This window comes from Homo sapiens, chromosome 12, assembly GCF_000001405.40.
Source record: "Homo sapiens chromosome 12, GRCh38.p14 Primary Assembly".
Taxonomy (NCBI): domain Eukaryota; kingdom Metazoa; phylum Chordata; class Mammalia; order Primates; family Hominidae; genus Homo; species Homo sapiens.
This window is the reverse complement of record NC_000012.12, coordinates 31,360,651-31,388,229: the sequence shown is the minus strand read 5'-3', so window position 1 is coordinate 31,388,229 and position 27,579 is coordinate 31,360,651. Positions and strand designations below refer to the sequence as shown.

The 27,579-nt window shown below is 45.4% G+C and overlaps 1 protein-coding gene, 1 long non-coding RNA gene and 1 other non-coding gene across 25 annotated transcripts in view, besides 3 other annotated features; 2 read left to right on the top strand and 1 right to left on the bottom strand.

Annotated features, from left to right (window-relative positions):
• DENND5B (DENN domain containing 5B) overlaps nucleotides 1-6,004 on the top strand; it is a 208,911-nt gene extending 202,907 nt beyond the window's left edge. For all 23 annotated transcript variants that reach the window (XM_047428429.1, XM_047428424.1, XM_047428430.1 and 20 more), the window contains one exon: nucleotides 444-6,004. In XM_047428429.1, the coding sequence (XP_047284385.1) occupies nucleotides 444-627 (184 nt within the window). In that variant the 3' untranslated portion in view covers nucleotides 628-6,004. The remainder of the gene's footprint in view (nucleotides 1-443) is intronic.
• Nucleotides 16,672-17,280: an enhancer, noted in NCBI's record as "OCT4-NANOG-H3K27ac-H3K4me1 hESC enhancer chr12:31523884-31524492 (GRCh37/hg19 assembly coordinates)". NCBI's record gives its function as "activates a minimal SCP1, AML or CMV promoter by ChIP-STARR-seq in primed H9 embryonic stem cells {active_cell/tissue: H9 hESC(primed)}" and the evidence as "EXISTENCE:reporter gene assay evidence [ECO:0000049][PMID:30033119]".
• Nucleotides 17,281-17,888: an enhancer, noted in NCBI's record as "OCT4-NANOG-H3K27ac-H3K4me1 hESC enhancer chr12:31523276-31523883 (GRCh37/hg19 assembly coordinates)". NCBI's record gives its function as "activates a minimal SCP1, AML or CMV promoter by ChIP-STARR-seq in primed H9 embryonic stem cells {active_cell/tissue: H9 hESC(primed)}" and the evidence as "EXISTENCE:reporter gene assay evidence [ECO:0000049][PMID:30033119]".
• On the top strand, nucleotides 18,929-24,749 carry LINC02387 (long intergenic non-protein coding RNA 2387). Its single transcript, NR_146469.1, has 2 exons — nucleotides 18,929-19,481; nucleotides 24,435-24,749. It is a non-coding gene; the product is annotated as a long intergenic non-protein coding RNA 2387 (long non-coding RNA).
• Nucleotides 21,864-21,966, bottom strand: LOC124903091 (U6 spliceosomal RNA). The gene has a single exon (XR_007063617.1). It is a non-coding gene; the product is annotated as a U6 spliceosomal RNA (small nuclear RNA).
• Nucleotides 23,212-23,711: an enhancer, noted in NCBI's record as "H3K4me1 hESC enhancer chr12:31517453-31517952 (GRCh37/hg19 assembly coordinates)". NCBI's record gives its function as "activates a minimal SCP1, AML or CMV promoter by ChIP-STARR-seq in naive H9 embryonic stem cells {active_cell/tissue: H9 hESC(naive)}" and the evidence as "EXISTENCE:reporter gene assay evidence [ECO:0000049][PMID:30033119]".
• Nucleotides 24,750-27,579: the final 2,830 nt, after the last annotated feature.

The following is a 27,579-nucleotide window of genomic DNA, read 5'->3' as shown; positions in this document are numbered from 1 at the left end:
AAAGCAAGTCCCTACAGTTTAGTGTAGTCTTTCTTCCAAAAGGTCAGTATACTGTGGCATGCCTTGCCACAGAGTAACACTCCTATTAAAAAAAAAGACATAGAAAATGACATTCTGCCTCTTTCTAAAGGTGGTAAAATCAGAATAGAGAATGTCTTTAATGTGCATAGACTTTCTAATGTACTTTAAACTCTTAAAGTACATTAAATTGGGTTTAAAATAATGGGTTTTCCCTTTAGCTTTCTTTACACTGTCTCATCACTGTCTTTTTACCAGAAAATATTCAACTTCTTGGCTTTGATTTCCTCTCTCCTGACCTCTTAGCTTGGATACATTTTGTACCATCAAGTCCCACACCTTCCCATTCATACAGACTCCACTGTGTGCCTTGTTCTGCAGCGAGGCCAGCAATGCTCAGGAATTGTTTCTGTTTGGGTCTGTAGGGATCGCCTGCTCCCACAGTGGATTCCATTGTTAGCTGAGTGTCCTGCCATCACTCGAATGTATGAAGAGAGCGCTCTCCTGCGAGACCGCATGACTGTCAACTCCCTTATCCGAATTCTGCAGACCATTCAGGACTTCACCATAGTCCTAGAAGGATCACTCATCAAAGGAGTGGATGTGTAACCCAACTGGCTAGAAACTCTCAGTCCAAACCTTGCTCCTTCCCCAACTAGGGGACCGATTTGGACTTGTCTGACAGTAGTGAGTCACTGCAGGGGCAGCCAAACATATGCCCCATTTGGAACAATCCTCACTCTACAGACAAGGCAAAATGTTGTATTGTAGTTCATTTGAACCTGGAATTTAGTATAAAATAGAGTATTTTCATGTGTTAGATGTGTGTAAATATGCTATCTTCTTTAAGAAATTATATTACTCTAATAAGATGCTTTTCTTAGATTGAATATTCCTGTGACTTAAAATAAGTAGCTTAAAAATGTTGGGGGTTGGGGGGAAGAGTGGTGCTAGCCAGGAAGAAGCCAGTAAACATGTAAATATAGTGCAACCCAGTCGGGCTTTTTTTTTTCTCCAGGTATCACAAAGAAACCCAGAATGCATTGTTATGTAGTAGCCATCCATCTTGGAGTCTGATCCTTTGTATTGTGGATGCACACAGCTTTACCTACTGTACTGGTAGTCTTCACTTCTATCTTTTAAGTTACAAACTGTTTTATATATTTGAATCGCTAGTCACTTTTCCAGTCTTTTGGAAAAAAATTTCAGTCCGCACAAGATGATATAATTGGAGTATTTTAAACACTAGACCCCAGGAGCTTGGCTGAACTGGAAAGAGAACATACAAAGCTCTGAGAAATGTGTTCAATTGTGGGATTATAACTTCTTTACACTTCGGAAAGATTAGCCTAGACTAACTTCATTCTTGGCATTTTTATTCTTGTTATTTGAGGTACTTTGGGAAGATGTGAATTTCAGTGTTAGATTCATAGTGATAAGAACTGCAAACAGCAATTTGATTCTGTACTTTTAATTTGGCCATCTAAACTGTGCAGTGGTCTACCTCTTAAGGATAACCATGAGCCCTGTCTTTGTTAGGGTCTAATCACCCACCTCTCCAGGGCCCATCCCCCCTCGGGAAATGGAAGGAATGTCTAAGGAGGAGGAGGGCTGTGTGTGGCTTGGAATGTTTTTGTGAAAGCATTTGTTGACCATGATAATGCAAATAACAGAAGGAGAGAGAGAATGAACCCTTTCTGGGTGTTTCAGGGCAAGCTTTACGTTCCTTTGTAGGAAGGGGAGTAATAATGTAAAACAACTGACCCAGAGAAGCTAAAAGCCACTGGCAGCACAGGCTGACAAAATGGAAGCAAAGCAAGAGGTGGCAACAATTTTGAAAGACCAAAAGTTGTGAGTAACTTTCCAGTTTGATAGTTTATAAAGAAGTTAAGTAAATGTAGTATTGGCTAGTTACTGTAAGTCCTCATCTTCTGGTAGGTCCTGTAACTCTAATTAGGCATTTGTACATTTTTAGCAGCAAAATTGCCTCAGCAGAGCTCCCAGTTTTATTCCCAGTTGTGGCTGAAAAGCAAAGCCATGGCATCAGTATCCTTGTGCAATCGGAGGTTGCTGGGCTTTCACCACCTGTGTTGTTAACCTTATTTCCTGGAGGAAGAAACAGATGAAACAAGTGCCTAACTCCCTTTATCAAACACAGCCAAGGACAGCCTCTTTTAACATGTGACTTCATACTTGAGGAAAAGGAGAGTTGACAGCTGTATTTAAAAACCCATGGAGCCGGGTGCGGTGGCTCACGCCTATGATCCCAGCACTTTGGGAGGCCGAGGCAGGCGGATCACAAGGTCAGGAGATTGAGACCCTCCTGGCTAACACCGTGAAACCCCGTCTCTACTAAAAATACAAAAAATTAGCCGGGCGTGGTGGCGGGTGCCTGTACAGGAGGCTGAGGCAGGAGAATGGCGTGAACCCGCGAGGCGGAGCTTGCAGTAAGCTGAGATCGCGCCACTGCCCTCCAGCCTGGGCAACAGAGCAAGACTCCATCTCAAAAAATAAATAGATAAAAATAAAAACCCATGGAAATGGTTTAAGAAAATGGTTCTGGGTACACCAGAAATTTGTTTGCCTGAAGCTAAAGTGTGTCTACAATGGTACAGCTCTTCCAGGGACATGGGAAGTTTATCGTGGGAGATATCCAGAACCTGTTTTACACTGGGCTCCTACTGTGTTTGGTGATCAGAAACTATAGAGGGGTCCAACCCAGGATTTCATGTTTGTATCTTCATAAGGCCATGCTCCTGACAGGTCTAGGCAACCTGGGGGATGACTTAGGTTAATGTGCTAGGATTGACACACCTCATCCAGCCTTCTTACTTTGTGGATGGGAACACTTAAGGAATAGAGAGATTAAATCTTACACTTACCCCACAGCTGGTTACTGACAACACAAGCTCTAGAATTCATGTTTGTTTGTTTGTTTTATTTCACCAGGCTGCATGAGACTGACCTTCCGGCATTCTTACTAATAGTCTTTCTATTATACTATTGGATCTTTATTCATCCACCTATACAAGTAGGAAATAAGGATGAATATTCATTTAGAAGAATTAATATTCATATTAACACATTGCTCTCAGATTATTGGGAATTAACATCTTGTAAAAACTGGGAGCAGGCCAGGTACGGTGGCTAACGCCTGTAATCCTGACACTTTGGGAGTCTGAGGCGGGTGGTTCATCTGAGGTCAGTCGGGAGTTCAAGACCAGACTGGCCAACATGGTGAAACCCCGTCTCTACTAAAAAAAAAAAATAGACAAAAATTAGCGGGGGGGTGGTGGCAGGGCCTGTAATTCCAGCTACTCAGGAGGCTGAAGCAGGAGAATCGTTTAAACACAGGAGGTGGAGGTTGCAGTGAGCCGAGATTGTGCCACTGCACTCCAACCTGGGTGACAAGAGCGAGACTCCGTCTCAAAAAAAAAAAAAGAAAAAAACTGCAGCCAAAGTTGGATTTGCGGCCTATGAATAAAACCATTACTTTAAAAAGTAATACCCCCAAAAAAGTTACACCTGAAGTTTCATCTTCATGCCTTTGTGTAATATTACTATAATGGTGAAATGATGATTTAAAAAAAACACATCAGAACTGACACATCCTCTTGGATGATGGGTCCTTCAGTCACCTTGTGAGCCCATGTACTTATTCCGTTGATACAGCCTGTGCTATAAACATGTGGGGCCCTCCTTGTGTGAGCTGCTTGAATGGCCAGTACCCCCATTCTTTTGAATATTCCCAATGGCAGTCAATCTTGGCCTTTAAGAATAAATTTAAATATTTGGAAATAGTCCTTAGGATCCAAGTTTGATCAATGAAAAGGATGCTTAAGCTGAGTTTGGGGTCACATAAGAAGTGCAGTTATAAAGAAATAAGACATGTTGGGCATGGCAGTACACACCTGTAGTCCCAGCTGCTTGGGAAGCCAAGGCAGGAGGATCACTTCAACCCAGGAGTTTGAGTCCAGCCTGGGTAACATAGGGAAACCCCATCTCAAAAAAACAAAACAAAGGACTTAGTTTTTATGTGGCTCATAAGTGTCTCTAAGTTATACCAAAAGTTTGAGCACAACAGTAGTAGCAGAATGCTTAGAATAAATGCTTGACTTTTAAGCTGACTTTTGGAAGGACCATACCCACATAGAGGCATCTTTTCTGCTGTGGTAATTTTTTAAATTAATACATTGCTTTAGGATTACATCTCAAAGTAAATAAAAAAATCAATATTTAATTTGTTTTTTTCCTGCAAATAAATTAAATGCTGGGACCATAATGATTATTTTTGCATAGTAATAGCTGGTGAAGAAGTTGTTTTAAAATTAAATTGCCAAAAGTATTACCTCTTGAAAAATTTATTTTCCCAAAGTTTTTCATATGTCATGAAACCCCTAATCTTGACCTTTATGACACAGTGGCATTACACTGATGTTGGAAGCATGTGTGAGATCTGTGCCCTGGTCGGGAGTCATATGCCTTAAAAATGACTGCGAGTCAGTGTGAAGTAGTATAAAGTGGAGTCCTACGTGGGAAAAAGCAGGCTACTGAGGACAAAAACCTCCCAACCCTCCCCACCTTGTTTTCCACTGGGAATGAGAATTTGATATGAGAAACTTCAACCTTGCAGAAGTGTGGATTTCCCTCTGAAATTTAAATGTTTCACACATTTTTGTACCTTTTGTAACCTTGTGGTATTTACTTTCACATGGCTTTTTAAAAAATTATTTTAATGAACTTCTATCACACTATATGAATGATATGGGGGAAATACTGAACTGCTCATATTTCCTTTTTTGGCAATAAAGCACTGTTATATGTAAATGTAAGTGAAAAAGAGGTTCAAGACTATACAACAGCTTATGTGTAGTATATGTTGACATCCCTAAGGTATTTTGAAACATGAGGTGACAGACAAGGACCTCAAATTTCCAGGGAAATATTTATTTCACAACATTAGGAGTGTAGCTCTTCATAATGAAATATCTTCTTTCTGCTAAAGATTACAATTTTTCATTTAGGGAACTGTGAATATTTTCTGTGAGGTTTACAGAAACTAGTGTATCCTTTTCACTATGTTGAAAAGACAATCTGAACTTTAGCTATTTATATTTCAGTATTAACACACCTTCACTGATTGAGAGTCTTGAGCCCTTCTCTACTTTTATAAAGTGAATCCTATTTCCAAGTCATCCATGTCTTTTGAAGTCTGTTTCTTATATAAGTATTTATTACTTTACTGTTTAGCATAAATAGGAGACAGAAAAGGATAATAAACTACTAGGTCCTTTATTCCTATTAAAATAAATTTATAAATCCCTTGAATCAACTGAATTCTAAGCTTTTTGAAGAGGTTGCTGATGTAGTGTGATCAAAAGAATCTAAGGAGAACCTCCTCTCCAAAATCTGATTGGAGCTGTTCACCCTCTCAAGGACAAGATAAAGATTGACTTCAGAGATATATCACATCAAGCTAGAGGAAAAAAAAAAAACCTCAAATAAAATTTTTCCTCATTCGAAGGGATCCAGGGTATCCTTGGGTTATGTAGGAGGGAATCATATTTGTTCTAATTTACCTGAATGTACTTGTGTGTGAATCCAATCTTGATTCTAAACACCAAATCTTGTCAACAGTAGAGAAGTATAGTAAGGAGTTCCTGTTGTCAATCAAATGAGGGTGTGAAACATTTAGAATGCTCTGTGTTACACTTGAACCATGTATAAATGTAACCTGTGTATCTTTTTTTTAATTAGCTTTTCTGAATTTAAATTATATTGTTTTTCTTTGTATTGTTAGCAAAATGCATCAGAACTGGATTTTTTTTCTCATCTGAACATAATATAAAATTTGAAAGAGTATTGTGATATTAAGCACTTTAACATACATATCAGACAAACTGACGTGGGTTTTTCAGGTTTGGGAGTACATTTAAATATGACTTTTCATGCTTTGTTCTTTACAAATAAAACTGTGGGATTGATACTTTGTTTTGCTTCATTGTTGTAGAATCTTGATAGTGTTTCATAGGATAAGAGACTTCAGAAAGCAGAGAGATCAAACCAAAACCATTATGTAGAAAAAAAGAGCCTTCTGAGTAAGGGGTGAAAATTTGAACCCTACCTCACACCATACAGAAAAATCAATTCTTGGTGGCTTAGCAACCTAAATGTGAAAGATGAAACATAATTTTTAGGAGAAAATACAAAATGTACTTATTAACTTGGGAAAGGGAAGTTTTCTTAAGACATTTAAATTATAAAGGATAAGTGATAAATTTGACTATGTTCACAGGTGTTTTGCTATAAAAAAATTGACTATATAAAAATTAAGAATTTCTGGTCATCAAAATATATCATTAAAAAGGAGAAGGCCTGTAATCCCAGCATTTTGGGAGGCCAAGGCGAGTGCATCACTTGAGGTCAGGAGTTCAAGACCAGCCTGGCCAACATGGCAAAACCCTGTCTCTCCTAAAAATACAAAAATTAGCTGGGTGTGGTGACAGGTGCCTGTAATCCCAGCTACTCGGGAGGCTGAGGCAGGAGAATCGCTTGAACCCGGGAGGCGGAGGTTGCAGTAGCTGAGATCATGCCACTGCACTACAGCGTGGGGGACAGGAGTGAGACTTCATCTCAAAAAAACAAAACAAAAACCATGAAATTCTTTTTTTTTTTTTTTTTTTTTTTTTTTTTGAGACGGAGTCTCACTCTGTCACCAGGCTGGAGTGCAGTGGTGCAATCTTGGCTCACTGCAACTTCCACCTCCCAGGTTCAAGTGATTCTCCTGTCTCAGCCTCACGAGTAGCTGGGACTACAGGTGCGTGCCACCATGCCTGGCTAATTTTTTGTATTTTTAGTAGAGATGGGGTTTCACCATATTAGCCAGGATGGTCTCGATCTCCTGACCTCGTGATCTGCCCAACTCGGCCTCCCAAAGTGCTGGGATTACAGGCGTGAGCCACTGTGCCCGGCCCTAAAATACACGTTAAATTATTGCTCTCATAGTTTATATTCCAGTGGAGGAGTTACATAATAAACATACGTAATAAATATAGTAATTAGATAGCAATAATAGTGGCGGGATGCAGTGGCTCACGCCTGTAATCCCAGCACTTTGGGAGGCCATGGAGGGTGGATCACAAGGTCAGGAGTTCGAGACCAGCCTGGCCAACATGGTGAAAACGTCTTTACTAAAAATACAAAAATTAGCCAGGCGTGGTGGCATGCACCTGTAATCCCAGCTACTCGGGAGGTTGAGGCAGAAGAATTGCTTGAACCTGGGAGGCGGAGGTTGCAGTGAGCCAAGATTGTGCCACTGCACTCCAGCCTGGGTGACAGAGCAAGACTGTCTCAAAAAAAAATAAATAATAATAGCAAATGGCCGGGTGTGGTGGCTCATGCCTGTAATCCCAACAGTTTGGGAGGCTGAGGCAGGCAGATCTCTTGAGGCCAGGAGTTCAAGACCAGCCTGACCAACATGGTGAAACCTCATCTCTACTAAAAATACAAATATTAGCCAGGTTTAGTGGTGGGCGCCTGTAATTCCAGCTACTGGGGAGACTGAGGCAGAAGAATTGCTTGAACATGGGAGGCAGAGGCTACAGTGAGCCGAGATCATGCAACTGCACTCCAGCCTGGACAATAGAGTGAGAATCTGCTCAAAAAAATAAAAATAAAAAATAAAATAACAGCAGAGAAGAGGGATTGAAAGTATAGTTGGGGCTGCTGACTACAATTAATGGGTTGCTAGGGAAGGCCTTACTGAAAAATGGAGTTGCCTTTAACTGAGATTGGAAAAGCTGTAAAAGAAAACAAGTTTGGCTGGGCACGGTGGCTCATGCCTGTAATCCCAGCACTCTGGGAGGCCAAGGCAGGCGGATCACCTGAAGTCAGGAGTTCAGGACCAGCCTGGCCAACATGGTGAAACCCCGTCTCTACTAAAAATACAAAAAACTAGCTGGGCGTGGTGGTACACACTTGTAATCCCAGCTACTCGAGAGGCTGAGGCTGGAGAATCACTTGAACCCGGGAGGTGGAGGTTGCAGTAAGCCAAGATCGCACCATTGCACTTCAGACTGGGGGACAAGAGCGAGACTTCATCTCAAAAAAAAAAAAGGAAAAAAAGAAAAGAAAAGTTTGTGGGAGGAGCATCAAGAGCTACTTTTGGGGATAACAAATTTGCGATGCTTTTGAGACACCTTTTAGACATCCAGATAGAGATGCTGGGTAAGCATCTGCACATATGGATTGGGAGTTCAGGAGAGAATAATAGTGTATTCATCACGGTCCAATCAGGAGACAGAAACCACACAGCAATTTGAACTGGGGTAGTTGAATGTAAAGAATAATGTAGGCTGGGCGTGGTGGGTCACGCCTGTAATCCCAGCACTTTGGGAGGCCAAGGTGGGTAGATCATGAGGTCAGGAGTTTGAGACCAGCCTGAACAACATGGTGAAACCCTATCTCTACTAAAAATACAAAAAGTAGCCAGGCGTGGTGGCGCGTGCCTGTAACCCCAGCTACTCTGGAGGCTGAGGGAGGAGAATTGCTTGAAGCCGGGAGGCGGAGGTTGCAGTGAGCCGAGATCGCACCACTGCACTCCAGCCTGGGCAACAGAGAGGGACTGTCTCAAAAAAAAAAAAAAAAGTATAATGTATTAGGGTTCTCCAGAGAAACAGAACTAATAGGATATGTTATAGATAGAGAAACATTTTAAGGAATTGGCTCACACAATTGTGGAGGCCTGGGGAGTCTAAATCTTTATTGTGGGCCATCAGGTTGGAGACTCAGGGAAGAGACAGTTCAAGCCAAAAGGCAGTCTGCTGGCAGAATTTCTTCTTGCTCAGGAGGAAGTCAGTCTTTTTTATATTAACTCCTTAAACTGGATGAGGCCCACCCATATTACGGATAGTAATTTGCTTTACTCGAAGTCCACCAATTAAAATGTTAATCTCGCCAGGCACTGTAATCCCAGCACTTTGGGAGGCCGAGGTGGGTGGATCACAGGGTCAGGAGTTCGAGACCAGCCTCACCAACATGGTGAAACGTCGCCTCTACTAAAAATACAAAAATTAGATGGGCATGATGGCACACGCCTGTAATCCCAGCTACTCAGGAGGCTGAGGCAGGAGAATCGCTTGAACCCAGGAGGCAAAGGTTGCAGTGAGCCGAGATCATGCCACAGCACTCCAGCCTGGGTGACAGAGCAAGGCTCCATCACAAAAAAAAACAAAAAACAAAACCATTAATCTCATCCAAAAACACCTTCATAGTAGTATCCAGAATAATGTTTGACCAAGTTTCTGGGCACCCTGGCCCAGTTAAGTTGAACTAAGATTACCTATCACAAACAATAACAAGAAATTGGAATAATGGAGGATCTGATGCCAGGTGATGAAAACAAAACTCTTAATATAAGAAAAACATTTATAGGGAACAGCCATTAACTATAGGGCTGAGTTGGCTGGGCGCCGTGGCTCACATCTGTAATCCCAGCACTTTGGGAGGCTGAGGCGGGCGGATCACGAGGTCAGGAGATCGAGATCATCATGGCTAACATGGTGAAACCCCATCTCTACTAAAAATTAAAAAACTTAGCCAGGCATAGTGGCGCATGCCTGTAGTCCCAGCTACTCTGGAGGCTGAGGCAGGGGAATCGCTTGAACCCAGGAGGCAGAGGTTGCTGTGAGCAGAGATCACACCACTACACTCCAGCCTGGGCAACAGAGTGAGACTCCGTCCCCCCCAAAACAAAAACAAAAACAAAAAACAAAAAAAACCGATAGGCCTGAGTCAAGGCAAATCTAAATGAGCCCCCTCTGCCTGAGGTTGAACCAGACCCTGACAGAGGGTACAACCTTCTCTCTGGGTGGCAAAGAAGTTTACTGAGGCTGGGCACAGCGGCTCACACCTGTAATCTCAACACTGTGGGAGGCTGAGGCAGTCGGATTGCTTGAGCCTAGGAGTTCGAGACTAGCCTGGGCAACATAGCAAAACCCCGTCTCTACTAAAAATACAAAATATTAGCCTGGCGTGGTGGCACGTGCCTGTGTTCCCAGCTACCTGCAGGGCTGAGGTGAGAGGATTGCTTGAGCCCCAGAGGTGAAGGTTGCAGTGAGCCGAGATCGTGCCACTGCACTCCTGTCTGGGCAATAGAGTGAGACCCAGTCTCAAAAAAATAAAAATGAGTTTACTGAGACATTTAAAATAAGTGGACTTGTTTGGAATCTGCCCCCAGGTGCCAAGGACACATCCATGAGGAGGTGCCATACTCCAGAACTTGCTGGGACACCACAGAGGAAATTCAATGTCTTGGTCTGGATTTGGGGAGCTATAGCTGGACTTTAGATATAAATTTGGGAGTTTCCAGCATGTATAAATGGAACTTAATGTCATGAAACCAATATTAAATCATGTGTTCATGAGAACACAAAGGGATTGAGTTATTAAATCTAAAACATTGATTTTAATTTTGTGATATGGATGTGGCATGATTTGTTTGACATTTAGATTACTCTCATTTTTTTCACTATTCTGAACAATGTTACGATGAAAAACGTTACAGGCACGGTGACTCAACCCGTAATCCCAGCACTTTGGGAAGATGAGGCAGGAGGATCACTGGAGCCCAGGAGTTCAAGACCAGCCTGGGGAACATACTAAGACCCTGTCTCTCTACTAAATAAATAAATAAATAGAAAAGAAAGACATCTAAATAGCTCCCAATGTTTCTCTATTCCAAAAAAACTATAATGAACAAACATCCTTATTTTGTAAGAAATTACCTCTTTTATTTATTTATTTATTTATTTATTTATTTAAAGATGGAGTTTCGCTCTTGTTGCCCAGGCTGGAGTGCAATGGCATGATCTCGGCTCATCGCAACCTCTGCCTCCCAGGTTCAAGCGATTCTCCTGTCTCAGCCCCCCTAGTAGCTGGGATTATGGCATGCGCCACCACGCCCGGCTAATTTTGTATTTTTAGTAGAGACGGGGTTTCTCCATGTTGGTCAGGCTGGTCTCAAACTCCCGACCTCAGGTGATCCGCCCACCTCGGCCTCCCAAAGTGCTGGGATTACAGGCATGAGCCACCGCGCCCGGCCTAGAAATTACCTCTTTTAAAGGTCAAAGGCAAATGTTAACAACTCCATAGGATTCAACCTAATATTTTTGATAATTCTTTTGATTCTTTATCCTGACATGTACTGTACTTTGATTCAAATATATACGATTTTAGAACATGTTGAAAAAAGGAAAAAAAAAGAGCAATTAATGTGGGTTGCAAAGCCTAAAAATAAGTCACTCAAATGAGGGCTGGTGCGTGGGCCAGATGCTCCCTGTTCTCTAGAATAATATAAGCTTGAGGTCTATCATTTGCTTAACCCATAGCCTGTGTTCTTTTTTTTTTTTTTTTTTTTGAGACGGAGTCGCCCTGTCGCCCAGGCTAGAGTGCAGTGGCATGATCTCAGCTCACTGCAACCTCTGCCTCCCAGGTTCAAGCAATTCTCCTGCCTCAGCATCCCAAGTAGCTGGGATTACAGGCATACACCACCACACCCAGCTAATTTTCTTTGTATTTTTAGCAGAGACAGGGTTTCACCATGTTGGCCAGGCTGGTTTCAAACTCCTGACCTCAAGTGATCCACCTGTCTCGGCCTCCCAAAGTGCTAGGATTACAGGCGTGAGCCACTGCGCCTGGCCAACCTGTGTTCTTAAATGCCTCAAAACTTTCTTGAATTTCTCACTTATATCCTATTCAAAAATAACAAAAAGGCTGGGCGCAGTGGCTCACGCCTGTAATCCCCCTACTTTGGAAGGCCGAGCCGGGCGGATCACAAGGTCAGGAGATCCAGACCATCCTGGCTAACACGGTGAAACTCCGTCTATACTAAAAATACAAAAACATTAGCCGGACGTGGCGGCGTGCGCCTGTAGTCCCAGCTGCTGGGGAGGCTGAGGCAGAAGAATGGCGTGAACGCGGGAGGCGGAGCTTGCAGTGAGCCGAGATGGCGCCACTGCACTCCAGCCTGGGTGACAGAGCAAGACTCCGTCTCAAAAAAAAAAAAAGCTTCAAAACATGAAGAAGGAAAAAAGCCTGATGGAATCAATGAGAAATAGACAAATCTTCAATTATAGTCAGATCCTGTTGTCAATAATTGATAGAATAGAAAATCAGGGCCGGGCACAGTGGCTCACGCCTGTAATCCCAGCACTTTGGGAGGCCGAGGCAGGTGGATCACGAGGTCAGGAGCTCAAGACCAGCCTGGCCAGCATGGTGAAACCCCATCTCCAGTAAAAATACAAAAATTAGCCAGGCATGGTGGTGTGCGCTTGTAGTCTAGCTACTCAGGAGACTGAGGCAGGAGAACTGCTTGAACCCAGGAGGCAGAGGTTGCAGTGAGCTGAGATCGTGTCACTGCACTCCAGCCTGGGTAACAGAGCGAGACTCCATCTAAAAAAAAAAAAAAAAAAAATTCCAACAAAACAACAGCAGAATATGCATTCTTTCCAAGTACACAAAAATCATTTATCAAGATTGGTCAGGCCGGGCACAGTGGCTCATGCCTGTAATCCCAGCACTTTGGGAGCCCAAGGCAGGCTTATCACTTGAGGTCAGTACTTTTGAGAGCAGCCTAGTCAACGTGATAAAACCCCATCTCTACCAAAAAATACAAAAATTAGGTGAAAAAATTAGCTGGGCGTGGTGGCAAGGGCCTGTAATCCCAAACTACTCAGGAGGCTGAGGCAGGAGAATCACTTGAACCCAGGAGTCGGAGGTTGCATTAAGCTGAGATCATACTACTGCACTCCAGCCTGGGTGACAGAGCGAGACACTGAAACAAATAAAATAAAACACAGGGAAAATCTTTTTCACCAAAGATTTCTTAGATACAACAAGAAAATGCAGTACATAAAATAAAAACTTGATAAAGTGGACTTCACAAAACTTTTTTCTTTTTTTTTTTTTTTGAGACAAAGCCTGGCTCTGTCTCCCAGGCTAGAGTGCAGTGGTGTGATCTCAGCTCACTGCAGCCTCTGCCTCCCAGTTTAAGTGATTCTTGTGCCTCAGCCACCCGAGTAGCTGGGATTACAGGCACTAGCCACCACACCCAGCTAATTTTTGTTATTTTTAGTAGAGACGGAGTTTCACCATGTTGGCAAGGCTGGTCTCGAACTCCTGACCTCAGTTGATCCACCTGCCTTGGCCTCCAAAAGTGCTGAGATTACAAGTGTGAGGATGTCATAAAATTAAGAATGGCCAGGCATGGTGTTTCATGCCTGTAATTCCAGGCATGGGATTATATCCTTTGGGAGGCCAAGGTGGGAGGATCACTTGAGGCCAGGAGTTTGAGATCAGCCTGAGCAACACGGCAAAACTCTGTCTGTCTCTCTCTCTCTACAAAAAGAAAAGAAAAAAAAAAAGATGGGCCAGGCGCAGTGGCTCACACCTGTAATCCCAGCACTTTGAGAGGCCAAGGCAGGTGGATCACCTGAGGTCAGGAGTTCAAGACCAGCCTGGCCAACATGGCGAAATCCAGTCTCTACTAAAAATACAGAAATTAGCCGTGTGTGGTGGCGCTTGCCTGCAATCCCAGCTACTTGGGTCGCTGAGGCAGGAGAATCGCTTGAACCCAGGAGGCGGAGGTTGCAGTGAGCCAAGACTGCACCACTGCACTCCAGCCTGGGTGACAGAGCAAGACTCTGTCTCAAAAAAAAAAAAGAAAAAAGAAAAAGATGGACAGTGTCTTTGTTCATTCAGGCTTCTATAAGAAAATACCAGCCTGGGCAACATAGGGAGACCCCATTTCTACAAATATCAAAAAATTGGCCAGGCATGGTGTCATGCACCTGTTGTCCCAGATACTTGGAAAGCTGAGGTGGGAGCATTGTTTGAACTCAGGAGGTTGAAGCTGCAATGAGCCATGATCATGCCACTGTACTCCAGCCTGGGTAACAGAGCAAGACCCTGTCTCAAAAAAAGAAAAGAAAAAAATACCATATGCGGGATGACTTATAAAGAATAAACAACAGGTCGGGTGTGGTGGCTCATGCCTGTAATCCCAGCACTTTGGGAGGCTGAGGTGGGCGGATCACATGAAGTCAGGAGTTTGAGACCAGCCTGACCAATATGATGAAACCCCATCTCTACTAAAAATACAAAAATTAGTTGGGCTTGGTGACGGGTGGCTGTAATCCCAGCTACTCGGGAGGCTGAGACTGGAGAATTGCTTGAACCTGGGAGGAAGAGGTTGCTGTGAGCTGAGATTGTGCCACTGCACTCTAGCCTGGGCAACAAGAGCAAACTCTGTCTCAAAAACAAAACAAAACAAAACAAAAAACAGACATAATTGTGGAGGCTGGGAAGTCCAAGAGCCAAGGTGCTAGTATCTGGTGAGAGCCTATTCCTCACAGACGGTGCCTTACAGCTGTGCACTCACATGGTGGAAGGGGTAAACAATCTCCTTTGGCCCTCTTATAAGGGCGTGAAGCCCATTCATCACCTCTCAAATGACCCCAACTCTTAATACTATCACATTGGAGATTAGGTTTCAATGTACGAATTTTGAGGGGATACAAAAGTTGTGACCATAACAATGATCAAGCTCATATGCTTCTTATTCTGACCAAAGATCTGGTGGAACATGTTTGCAGCAGAGGCCTTGGGTCCTGAAAGAAATAAATCTGCCAGGCCCAGGACTAAGTACTCTTCTACCAGAATGTATGCTCTCTGAAAGAAATTTAGGAGAATGCAAAGATAAGCCACAGACTGGTAGAGAATATTAGCAACACACATATCTGGCAAAGGGCTTGTATCCAGAGTATATAATGAACCCTCAAAATGCAATAATAAGATAAACAGCCCAACAACAAAAAAAGGGCAAATGGCCGGGCGCAGTGGCTCACTCATGCCTGTAATCCCAGCACTTTGGGAGGCCGAGATGGGCAGATCACGAGGTCAGCAGATCAAGACCATCCTGGCTAACACGGTGAAACCCTGTCTCTACTAAAAATACAAAAAAAAAAATTAGCCGGGCGTGGTGACCGGCGCCTGTAGTCCCAGCTACTCGGGAGGCTGAGGCAGGAGAATGGCGTGAACCCAGGAGGCGGAGCTTGCAGTGAGCCGAGATCGCATCACTGCACTCCAGCCTGGGGGACAGAGCAAGACTCCATCTCAAAAAAAAAAAAAAGCGTGCAAATGATTTGAATAGGCACTTCACCAAAGAAAAACATAAAAGGATGTCAAAAAGCCCACAAAAGGCTGGACACAGTGGGTCATGCCTTTAATCCCAGCACTTCAGGAGGCCAAGGCAGGAGGATTGCTTGAGCTCAGGAGTTTGAGAACATTCTGAGCAACATAGCGAGACCCTGTCTCTACAAATAGTTTAAAATTTAGGCCAGGCTCAGTGGCTCACACCTGTAATCCAAGCACTTTGGGAGGCCGAGGCGGGCAGATCACGACGTCAAGAGATGGAGACCATCCTGGCCAACATGGTGAAACCCCATCTTTACTAAAAATACAAATTAGCTGGGCGTGGTGGCGCCAGCCAGTAGTCCCAGCTACTTGGGAGGCTGAGGCAGGAGAATCACTTAAACCCAGGAGGTGGAGCTTGCAGTGAGCCGAGATCGCGCCACTGCACTCCAGCCTGGCAACAGAGTGAGACTCCATCTCTAAAAAAAAAAAAATTAGGCTGGGCACGGTGGCTCACTCCTGTCATCCCAGAAATTTGGGAGGCCAAGGCAGGTGGATCACCTGAGGTCAGGAGTTCAAGACCAGTCTGGCCAACATGGTGTAACCCCGTCTCTACTAAAAAAATACAAAAATCAGCCAGACCTAGTGGTGCGCACCTGTAATTCCAGCTACTTGGGAGGCTGAGGCAGGAGAATCACTTGAACCTGGGAGGTGGAGCTTGCAGTAAGCCAAGATGGCGCCACTGCACTCCAGCCTGGCAACAGAGCAAGTCTCCGTCTCTTAAAAAAAAAAAAAAAAAAATTAGGCCGGGCGCGGTGGCTCACTTCTGTCATCCCAGAAATTTGGGAGGCCAAGGCAGGTGGATCACCTGAGTTCAGGAGTTCAAGACCAGCCTGGCCAACATGGTGTAACCCCGTCTCTACTAAAAAAATACAAAAATCAGCCGGGCCTAGTGGTGCGCACCTGTAATTCCAGCTACTTGGGAGGCTGAGGCAGGAGAATCACTTGAACCCGGGAGGCGGAGGTTGCGGTAAGCCAAGATCACACCACTGCACTCCAGCCTGGGCGACAAGAGCAAAACTCTGGCAAAAAAAAAAAAAAGAGAGAGAATTACCTAATTCTCATAGATTTTAGTTTACGTATTTGTCTTTTTTTTTTTTTTTTTTTTTTTTTTGAGACAGAGTCTTCTCAGTTGCCTAGGCTGGAGTGCAGTGGTGCAATCTCAGCTCACTGCAACATCCTCCTCCGGGGTTCAAGAGATTCTCCTCTCTCAGCCTCCCGAGCAGCTGGGACTACAGGCACGAGCCACCTGGTTAATTTTTCTATTTTTAGTAGAGCCGGGGTTTCACTATGTTGACCAGACTGGTCTCGAACTCCTGACCTCAAGTGACCCACCCACCTCGGCTTCCCAAAGTGCTGGGATTACAGGAGTGAGCCACTGCGCCTGGCCTTGTATATTTAGTTTAGAACAATGCCTGGCACACAGTAAGAAAACAAAAAATGTTACCTACAAAAAAGAAAAAGGAATCCTACCTCTGAGTGCAGTCTCACCTGAATTCTTTCCCTCCCACCCCCACCTCTGGGTTTGTTAAGTCATTCTCCCCTCCCACAGGATCTGCACCACTGTTCCTCCTTTATCACACTCACTTGTCACACAAGTTTTTAACCTTTGGGCAGCTATAAATTCCTTTGACAATCTAAGGAAAGCTACACCATCCCCAGGAAAACACACATATGCACGCACACACACACTCTTAGGTACAATTCTGGGGTGCCTATAGAACTCTAACACTAACCTGCCTTTTTAGATCCCTGAGTTAAATGGACATTAATGTCAAAGACTCCTTATTCCTTTGGAGCAGCAAACCTCAACAGGTCACAGGAGATTCCCAGAGCAGATCCTTACTGCAAGGATCAGAGTCCAAACGAGGCTTCACCAATCTGAGCTCATCTGAGATGCAAATTGCATTTCTCCCAGGCGGGGAGAGGACTCTCATTGTTCCTTCCTGACTGCATTTTTAGAGCTGACCCTTCACCCTCATGGGGGAAGGGCGCTACAGGGATGAGGGCAGGGAGGAGGCCGGTTACCAAATGAAAGAATGGGGCTGCTGGAGATTCTAAGATCATTTATTTATAAACTTCTGCAGCCCTGCTAACATCCATGCTTGTGATTTACCTCACCTCTGTCTCCCAGTTGGTAATCAACAAACCCGTACTACCAAAATGACCTATGCTTCTGTCTTCTGCCGCAGGAGAGGGTGATAACACGGGAGGCTGCTCTCCCACCCCACCCTTTGAGAAAAAGAGGAAGACTGGCCAGTATAAACGTGGCAAATAGCCCTGTCACTTCCCATAAGTTCTGTAATCTCCGTGAGCTTCCATTTTGCCTTTAGAGTGGGAATAATAAAACAGACCTCATACTTTTGTGTGAAAGCGAGGGAACTGCAAATCTCCTGCCCCTAGTAGCACTAATAATTGTTAGCTGCTGCTTCTTAATATTACATAGCACCTGGAAGGATGACGGGCCTGCTTGCTAAAGCTGGCTGTGAGTTTGGGGTCGGCTTGAGGAGAAGAGCAGAGTGCAGGGAGCTTCCTGGAACAGGGCCTGTCTGTCTTATACTTTCACTCTAGACAGCCCTTTCCCGTTTTGGTGTTCAGGAAATATGCCCCAGATCTTCAAGGGCTTCACCGTCCCTTCCCTTTAACTAGGATTCAGATGCCCTCATCTACAGACGGTTCCGTCATAAGGCCAAAAATGATTGGATTCAAAGGATCTGAAAGATTGGTCCAGCCCTTTCTTTATTCTGATTAGAAACAGTCCCAGAGGTGACGTGATTTGCCCAAAGTAGCGCAACTTCCTGGAACGAGAAACCAATCCTAAGATTTCCATGTCGGCGTTCTTTCCGCGGTGATCGGGTTACCTCCCAGACATAGGATTTACTTTTGAAAGAAAAGGAGCGGTCACACGGGAGAGGCATTGAAGGAAAAATTATTTGAATTTGGCAACTGCTTGTGGTGGGGGGATGAGAGGTGGAGGGTGATAAAGCGCCCCCTCACACTCACACACAAATAATGTGAACAATTTTAAATTGCTTTACTTTAGGAGATCATGGATTTTCCAGGGGGGCTGAGAACTTACCTGTTTACCCAGCCAAGTTAACAATACTCTGCATTGTTTACCTAACGCAGAGTAGGTACTGAAGAACTATTTGTCGCACGGATGACTGCATGACCGGATGCATCCCATTCCATCATAGAGTCAGATGAGGATTTGCAGAGCCAAGCCCCACCTGGGAGGCATGTTAAGTCCTTTCCAGTTCTTCTCAATTATGGCTCTGCAGTGAGTATCTTTTGTTCATAAATTCTTGACTGCACATCTTGATTATCTCCTCAGGATATTTTCCTAGAAGTGGGATTACTGGATTGAAGGGGATGCACATATTTAAGATTCTTGATTCCGAACCCCTCCAGCAGTATAAAAATGAGTCCGCTTCCCAGCAAGCTGGCCCAAACAGGCTATTATCAGGCTTAATTTTTATTTTTTATTTTTGTGCCCTCCTAATAGAACAAAAATCGCATCTCGTTTGGTTTGCATCTCTTTGGGGACTAATTAGATCGAGATTGAACTAGTTTTGAAGAAACACTCTAAGGAGTCCAGAGAAATCCTGTGTGGGGCAGGAGATCCATGAAAGGAGGCACATCCCGCCCACTGAGGTGAAACCAAAGGGCTTCTATTGTTTGGTGTGATTTAACCTTAAGATGGAAACATCTGAGCCTTGCTAGAGAGGCTTCCCCGGAACAACGGCTGGGGGTGGGGAGCTGTGACTTATCAGCTTCCCTATGTTTATTTTCATTTCCTGATGGAGAGTAAATCTTATAAACAAATGAAAAACCTGTGGACTTATCTTTAAAGACTACAAGGAAAAGGGGAACTGGGCAAACTATTGCAACTCAAAGTCGTGGAAAGGCAGGAGGGGGAGTGGGGAATTTAGAAAGATATTTCCAAGAGATGGCAGATAGGTCCCTGGGGGCCTGTGGCCAGCCTGGAGAGGGAGAGACCAAGCCAGAGGCTGTGGAAAGCTCTAGAGACTTTGTACTAGAAAGGCTGCTGTTGGTGGCAGAGCTTACATGGCCAGGGATCCCGGAGGACCTGGAAGGGGTTTTAATGGACTTTTGAGAATCAAAGTGAACTGCCAGGGACAAACAAGAGTGGCGAGGAAATGGAAGCAGTCATACCACTCAGGCTGGAAAATCGCTCTAGGAATGGCAAGAAGGTAGGTGTGGCGTTTTCCAAGAGAAGAGGGTGATGGTCAGCTGGGAGCTTTCCTTGACTATGAAACAAGGAAGACTTCTCCCCCATCCAGAGCCAGGAGCTGTCCCTGCTCTTCACTTAAGCACTGGGTTCTTTTACAAACCGTACCCAGGAGGATGACTGATTTACAAATGTTTATAGACAATTTTATTTACTAATCTAGCTCTCACTCTCAACTAAATTTATAATCCTAATTATAGTCATCAGCATTTTCTTGATAACAAACCTACAGGATTTTTTTTTTTTTTTTTTGAGACAGAATTTCGCTCTTGTTGCCCAGGCTGGAATGCAGTGGTACAATCTCAGCTCACCGCAACCTCCATCTCCTGGGTTCAAGTGATTCTCCTGCCTCAGCTTCCCGAGTAGCTGGGATTACAGGCATGCGCCACCACACCTGGCTAATTTTGTATTTTTAGTAGAGAAGGGATTTCTCCATATTGGTCAAGCTGGTCTCGAACTCCTGACCTCAGGTGATCCGCCTGCCTCGGTCTCCCAAAGTGCTGGGATTGAGCCACTGTACCCGGCCTACAGGATGTATTTTATAGTTGTTTTTTAAAACTTTGTGGAGAGTTTATTTTCTTGATTGCTTTAAGTTCCCTATTAAAGTCTTAAATTTAACAATTGGCTTCTAACAGTTTAGTAATCTATGAATATTTTGTACCGCTTTATTTATTCTAAAAGGGCTTAAAGTCAAAGAAAAATGAGTATTTCTTTTTTTTTTTTTGAGACGGAGTTTTGCTCTTGTTTTCTGTTTTGTTTTGTTTTTGAGATGGAGTCTCGCTCTGTCACCCAGGCTAGAGTGCAGTGGTGCGATCTCAGCTCACTGCAACCTCCGCCTCCCGGGTTCAAGCAATTTTCCTGCCTCAGCCTCCCAAGTAGCTGGGATTACAGGCATGTGCCACCATGACCGGCTAATTTTGTATTTTTAGTAGAGATGGGGTTTCACCGTGTTGGTCAGGCTGGTCTCGAACTCCTGACCTCAGGTGATCCGCCCGCCTCGGTCTCCCAAAGTGCTGGGATTACAGGCGTGAGCCACCGCACCCGGCCAAGGAGTTTTGCTCTTGTTGCCCAGGCTGGAGTGCAATGGCGCAATCTCGGCTCACCGCAACCTCTGCCTCCCGGGTTCAAGTGATTCTCCTGCCTCAGCCTTTCGAGTAGCTGGGCTTACAGGCATGTGCCACCATGCCTGGCTAATTTTGTATTTTTAGTAGAGATGGGGTTTCTCCATGTTGGTCAGGCTGGTTTCGAACTCCTGACCTCAGGTGATCCACCCGCCTCGGCCTCCCAAAGTGCTGGGGTTACAGGCGTGAGCTACTGCGCCCAGCTGAAAAGTATTTCTTAGAGGTTTAAATGAGTGATGTCAAAACTCTTTGAGGTGATGGATATGTTAATTACCCTGATTAGATCATTACACATTGTATGCCTATATCAAAATCTCACATGGTACCGCATAAATATATACAATTATTATGTGTCAATTAAAAATAATAAAAGCAGAAAACTCCAAATAAAATGTTTAAAAAGCTTGTCACACTTCAAAGTCACTTGGCACATTAAAAAATAGTTTCTCCTGCTTCACCCTTGAGAGGTTAATTTTATGGAATTGGGGCAAACCCAGAATCTGGTTTTTTTTTGTTTTGTTTTGTTTTTTTGAGACAGAGTCTCACTTGTCGCCCAGGCTGGAGTGCAGTGGCTCGATCTCCGCTCACTGCAAGCTCTGCCTCCTGGATTCATGACATTCTCCTGCCTCAGTCTCCCGAGTAGCTGGGATTACAGGCGCCCGCCACCATGCCCGGCTAATTTTTTTGTATTTTTAGTAGAGATGGGGTTTCACCGTGTTGGCCAGGATGGTCTCGATCTCCTGACCTCATGATCCGCCCGCCTCGGCCTCCCAAAGTGAGCCACCGTGCCCGGCAGAATATGTATTTTTAAAAACCACCCAGGTGATTCCTAAATTGCTGCTACAAAGACCAGTTTGGGGAACTTGTGATCTAAATGCTTATCTATATTTTGTATGTTTGGTTTTTTTCAAAATGAATATAAAAAGTATGAGGCTGGGCACAGTGGCTCGCGCCTGTAATCCCAGCACTTTAGGAGACTGAGGCGGGTGGATCGCTTGAGCTCAGTAGTTTGAAACCAGCCTGGGTAACATAGTGAAACCCCGTCTCTACCAAAAATACAAAAATTAGCCGGGCACAGTGGTGCATGCCTATAGTCCCAGCTACTCCAGAGGCTGAGGCAGAAGAATCCATTGAGCCCGGGAGGTGGAGGTTGCAGTGAGCTGAGATCACGCCACTGTAGTCCAGCCTTGGTGATAGGAGTGAAACACTGTCTCCAAAAAAAAAAAAAAAAGGAATGCTTGATGAATTTGCGTGTCATCTTTGTGCAGGAGCCATGCTAATCTTCTCTGTTACCGTTCCAGTGTTCCAATTTTAGTACATGTACGGCCGAATCAGGCACTTTGTTTTTTAATGGTGTTTGGAAGTGACAGTTTTAATTTTTTTTTTTTTTGAGGCGGAGTTTCACTCTGTTGCCCAGGCTGGAGTGCAATGGCATGATCTCCACTCATTGCAACCTCTGCCTCCCAGGTTCAAACAATTCTCCAGACTCAGCCTCCCAAGTAGCTGGGTTTACAGGCACCCACCACCACGCCCAGCTAATTTTTGTATTTTTTAGTAGAGACGGGGTTTCACCATGCTGGCCAGGCTGCTCTCAAACTCCTGACTGCAGGTGATCCTCCTGCCTCAGCCTCCCAAAGTGCTGGGATTAGAGGCGTGAGCCACTGTGTCCAGCCTTTAAAACATTTTTAAGTAATGGAGGCCAGGTGTGGTGGCTCACACCTGTAATCTCAGCACTCTGGGAGGCTGGGGTGGGAGGATTGCTTGAGAATCAGGAGGTGGAGGCTGTAGTGAGCCATGATTGTACCACTGCACTTCGGCCTGAGCAACAGAGCAAAAAATATAAAATAAAATAAATATAATATAAAATAGGCCGGGTATGGTGGCTCACGCCTGTAATCCCAGCACTTTGGGAGGCTGAGGCAGGTGGATCACAAGGTCAGGAGTTCGAGACCAGCCTGGCTAATACGGTGAAACCCCATCTCTACTAAAAATACAAAAATTAGCCAGCCATGTTGGTGGGCGCCTGTAATCCCAGCTACTCTGGAGGCTGAGGCAGGAGAATCACTTGAACCCGGGAGGCAGAGGTTGCAGTGAGCAGAGATCGTGCCACTGCACTCCAGCCTGGGCAACAGAGCCAGACTCCATCTCAAAAAAATAAAATAAAATAAATATTAAGTAATGCTTTGCATTTCTGGAAAACATTCCTTTTCTCCTTCCTCCCCACCCACAGTGGGCTTCAACTCACCGGCCTCCTTTCAGTCCTTACCTAACCTACTGTGCTGTTCTCATAGTACTCGAAGCTCTCTTCTGGCTTCCCGTGATTCCTGGCTTTCTCCTGTCCTCTCTGGCAACATATTTTTGACTTTCTTTTGTGAATGACAATTGGCAAGACTTTCTTCCTTTACTATCTTTCAAAGCAAGCACTGTTGCTGCGTAAGGTGTCCTAGAAACTCTGGGAAAGGGTCCCAGGGCCATGTTAACTACTCCCATCACGGGCGTCTAGGTGCTTGGATTTTCAAGTCTCCATCTCTCACCATTTCTTTAAGAGGCTTTCCAGATCCCCGCATGTCAACTGCCTACGAGGCATTTATTCTCAGATGGCCTACAAAGCACCTCAAACTCAGTATTTCTCAAATATTAAGTTTCTGTCCATGTTTGCCCTCTGTGCCTCACAGCTTAGAGAATAGCTCCACCCAGTTACTCAAGCCAGAAACCTTGGGGTGTCCTAGTCATTCATCTAGTGCCACTGTCCTAAACGCTGGGGATACCAGAGACTACAAACAAGAATCCCTGTCCTCATTGAGCTTATGTTCCAGAGGAGGAAGACGGACATAAGCAGTCAGTTCCTACACCCAGGGACGCCAGCTCTGCAGCAGCGCTGCTGCCAGCCATTCAGCCTCTCCAGCACCTCAGTTCAATCCCCCCACCTGCCGCACCCGCCAGCTGGCCTTCCTCTGCTCTTTTACTCTCTTCAATCCATTCTCCCCACAGCAGTGATAACCTTCCTTCTTTTCTTTTCTTTTTTTTTTCTTTCTTTTTTTTCCCTTTCCTTTCTTTCAGATACAGTCTCACTCTGTCACCCAGGCTGGAGTGCAGCGGTGCCATCTTGGCTCACTGCAACCTCCTCCACCTCCCGGGTTCAGGCGATTCTCCTGCCTCAGCCTCCCGCATAGCTGGGATTACAAGCACCCACCACCATGCCCAGCTAATTTTTTTGTATTTTTAGGAGAACCAGGGTTTCACCATGTTGGCCAGGCTGGTCTCGAACTCCTGACCTCAGGTGATCCGCCCACCTCAGCCTCCCAAAATGCTGGGATTACAGGCGTGAGCCACTGAGCTGGGCCAGCAGTGTAATCTTTCTAAAGCCAAATCTTAACCGTTAGCCTCAAGCTTTAGGATCTTCATGCTTGCAGGATAAAGTCCACCCTTACAAACCTGGGTTAAAAGATGGTACAAGTTCTGGGCCCTGCTGGCCTCTCCACAGCACTGCTCACCCTCAGGCAGTGCTCTCTGTGCAGCCATACTGAGTTACAACCATGGTTCACTGCACCTGCCGTCCCCCAACTCCCTCCTGCCTCCCTGCCTGGTGAACTCCTGTCATTCTGTAGGTCTCAGCTTGGATGCTGTGACAGGGAGCCTCTAGAATGGCCCCCAGTGACCCCTATCTCCTAGTAATCCCTTTCCCTTGAGTGAGCTGGATTTACAGATGCAATTTTGAATAATAGAACCTTGTAGAAGGGATGAGTTGTCACTTCTGAGATTAGGTTATATAAAGACTGTCACTTCTTTCTAAGGGCTCTTTCTCACTTGGATGGTCCCCAGAAAGTCAGCTGCCATGTCACGAAGTGCCCTGTGAGAAGGACCTGTAAGGAGGGACGGAGGGAGGCCTCTAAATGACAGCCTTCGAGGAACTGAATCCTGCTGGTGACCATGTGAGGGAGCTTGGACTCCGGTCCCCCTGTGTTGAGCCTTCAGATGAGTTGGCAGCCCCAGCTGGTGGCATGACTGTAACGTCCTGAAACACCTTCAGCCAGAAAGCATTCAGCTAAACCACACCTGTATTTCTGACCCAAAGAAATTGTGAGATAATAAACATTTCTTCTCTTGAACTGCTATACCTTAAGCTAATTCGTTACACAGCAATAGATAACAAATACTACCTCTGGACCCCTGCCTGCCACCATACCAAATTCCATGCTCTGAGTTCTAGAGTCAGTGGTGTTTCCACCTGTCATGCCCAGCCCTTCACTGCTAGTATTATAATGAGGGCTTGCCCATATCTCTGCCCCCAGATGGCAGACTCTGTACAGGAAAGAAGGAAGGAGGAGTGGGAAGTCACCACTTTCTTTCTCAAGACTCTGAGTCTCTATTCTGCTGCTGGCCACATGTTTATACCCACAGTGTCAACAGCGCCTGGCCCCAAAGTGCAGCTGCAACTTCAGGAAGAGACTCAGGCCAGCCAGAGCCAAAGCTCTATGGCAGCCACCTTCCTCCACCTCCTTCTATTACACTTCCCTCCACCTCCCTCCATCTCCTCAGTCTTCTCAGCCAGCTTCCCCTGACCCTTGAGCACCAGGCAAGCATGCACACACACAGGCACATGCAGGCATGCACGCACGACACCAGGCCCACAGCCTCTCTTTACTCCAGAGGAGCTAGGTGGAGTCACTCCTCCCTCCTTTCACACACACCCTGGGGCCACGCTTTTGTGGCTTTTCTGAATGAAAGGGGAGGTGAGGTGGGGGTGGGGGAAGCCGTCTCTGCCTTTGAACTGCCCAGTTCCTCCACCTTTATTTCCAGCTAACCACCGAGTGCCTGCAAAAAAACAAAACAAAACAAACCAGAAAAACTAAAAAAGGAGCCCAAGTGTCTCTTGCTGCTTTCAGTTTCTGGAGAGCCAGCACACAGGTCACCCACTATCCCTGCCGAAACCCTGAGGTCTGAGGAAGGCCTCTTCACACTGCCTCTGGGCGCTGCCTTTGGCTTCCGGGAGCCCCCCATGCACTTCCCTGGAAACAGGTGGAGCTCTGTCCTGTGGCTCTGATTCACTCTCCTGTCCCTCGGTACACCATTGCGCCGTGTCCTCCTGCTGGCCCTTCTGTTACCCTGTACTTGCTGTACACTACCACGGTGGCCGGGGGCCTCAGCACCAGGAAAGCAACTTCCCCCGTGTCCTCCCCAACTCCTGAGTCCAATCCTTCAAGTCTATGGTGCCGAAGCAGGGGAAATGAATGTTGGAGAGACATGCCTGGGTCTGAACTCACCTCTATTGAAGGAAAACAAAGCTCACTAAGATTGCACCCTACGGTGTGTGCTTCTGTTCTCTCCACCTACCGTCAGCACTCTCAGCAGTTTTCCTCTTGGCTCTGCCTCCTGCAATTACTTTCTGCTCAGCTGCTTGCTGTTGCTAAGAAGGGTTATGCCCATCAACTGTGCTGTAGACATGCAGTATTGTGACGATGGGAGGGACATGGCTTGGAAGGTGGCTTTAATTTGAATTCTGCCATTTATGATATTTGGCCCTGGGTGTGTTACCTGATCGTCCTGTGCCTTATCCTCTGCGTCTGCTAATAGACCGTTTCCCAGGGTTGGGCAGAGATGAAATTAAATAAAACCACACACACTACAGTGCATGGAATGTACTAGGTGTTCAATAAATGTTTCCTTTTTTTTTTTTTTTGAGACTGAGTTTCGCTCTGTTGCCCAGGCTGGCGTGCAATGGCGCGATCTTGGCTCACCGCAACCTCCGCCTCCCGGGTTCAAGCGATTCGCCTGCCCCAGCCTCCTGAGTAGGTGGGATGACAGGCACGTGCCACTATGCCCAGCTAATTTTTGTATTTTTATTTTTAATTTTTTCGAGACAGAGTCTTGCTCTGTTGCCCAGGCTGGAGTGCAGTGGCGAGATCTTGGCTCACTGCAACCTCCACCTCCTGGGTTTTAAGCAATTCTCTGCCTCAGCCTTCTGAGTAGTTGGGATTACAGTCACGTGCCACCATGCCCAGCTAATTTTTTGTATTTTTAGTAGAGATGGGGTTTCACCATCTTGGCCAGGCTGGTCTTGAACTCCTGACCTCATGATCTACCTGCCTTGGCCTCCCAAAGTGCTGGGATTACAGGCATGAGCCACTGTGCGCGGCCAAATGTTTCTTGTCTTGTGTTTCAAAAGGACTTTAAGGCCAGGCACAGTGGTTCATGCCTGTAATACCAACCCTTTGGGAGGCTGAGGGAGGAGGACTGCTTGAAGCTAGGAATTTGAGACCAGCCTGGGCAACATAGCAAGACCCTGACTCAACAAAACTCTTAAAAAACCAAAAGCATTAGCCTGGCGTGGTAGCATGCACCTGTAGTCCCAACTTCTCTGGAGGCTGAAGTGGGAGGATCACTTGAGCTCAGGAGTTGGAGGCTGCACTGAGCTATGACTGCACCACTGAACTCCAGCCTGGGCAACAGAGTGAGACCCTGGTTCTAAAAATAAATAAATAAATAAATAAATAAATAAATAAATAAATAAGGACTTTTAACAACCCTTGTACTTTTTTATTGGAAATACGCATAGAAAGCAAAGAAGATTTTGAGGTCTAGCTGATAAAGGGCCACATTCAGTCTTTTATTGGTTTTTTGGTGAAGCAGGAAGACGTTGAGGGTGGTATGAGGATACTACTCTTTTATTGGTTTTTAATCTGACTTACCCTGCCGTGCTGAGTTAATGCTGTGGAAAACAGCTGCTCAAATGCCAGAGGAATGGATGTGCCTGAACCTGCCCCTGACTCCCAGGTGGTAAGGTGTTTTTCATGTTTGTGTTCAGGTCTCTGTGCCTTTGCTTTGGCCTCACCACGATGGAAGGGAAGTGCCCACATCGCAGGGAGCACACAGAATATGACGGCTAACATGCTACATCCAGCCTGCCATTATCCGCAGGGGTATGGCGTCATTGGATTC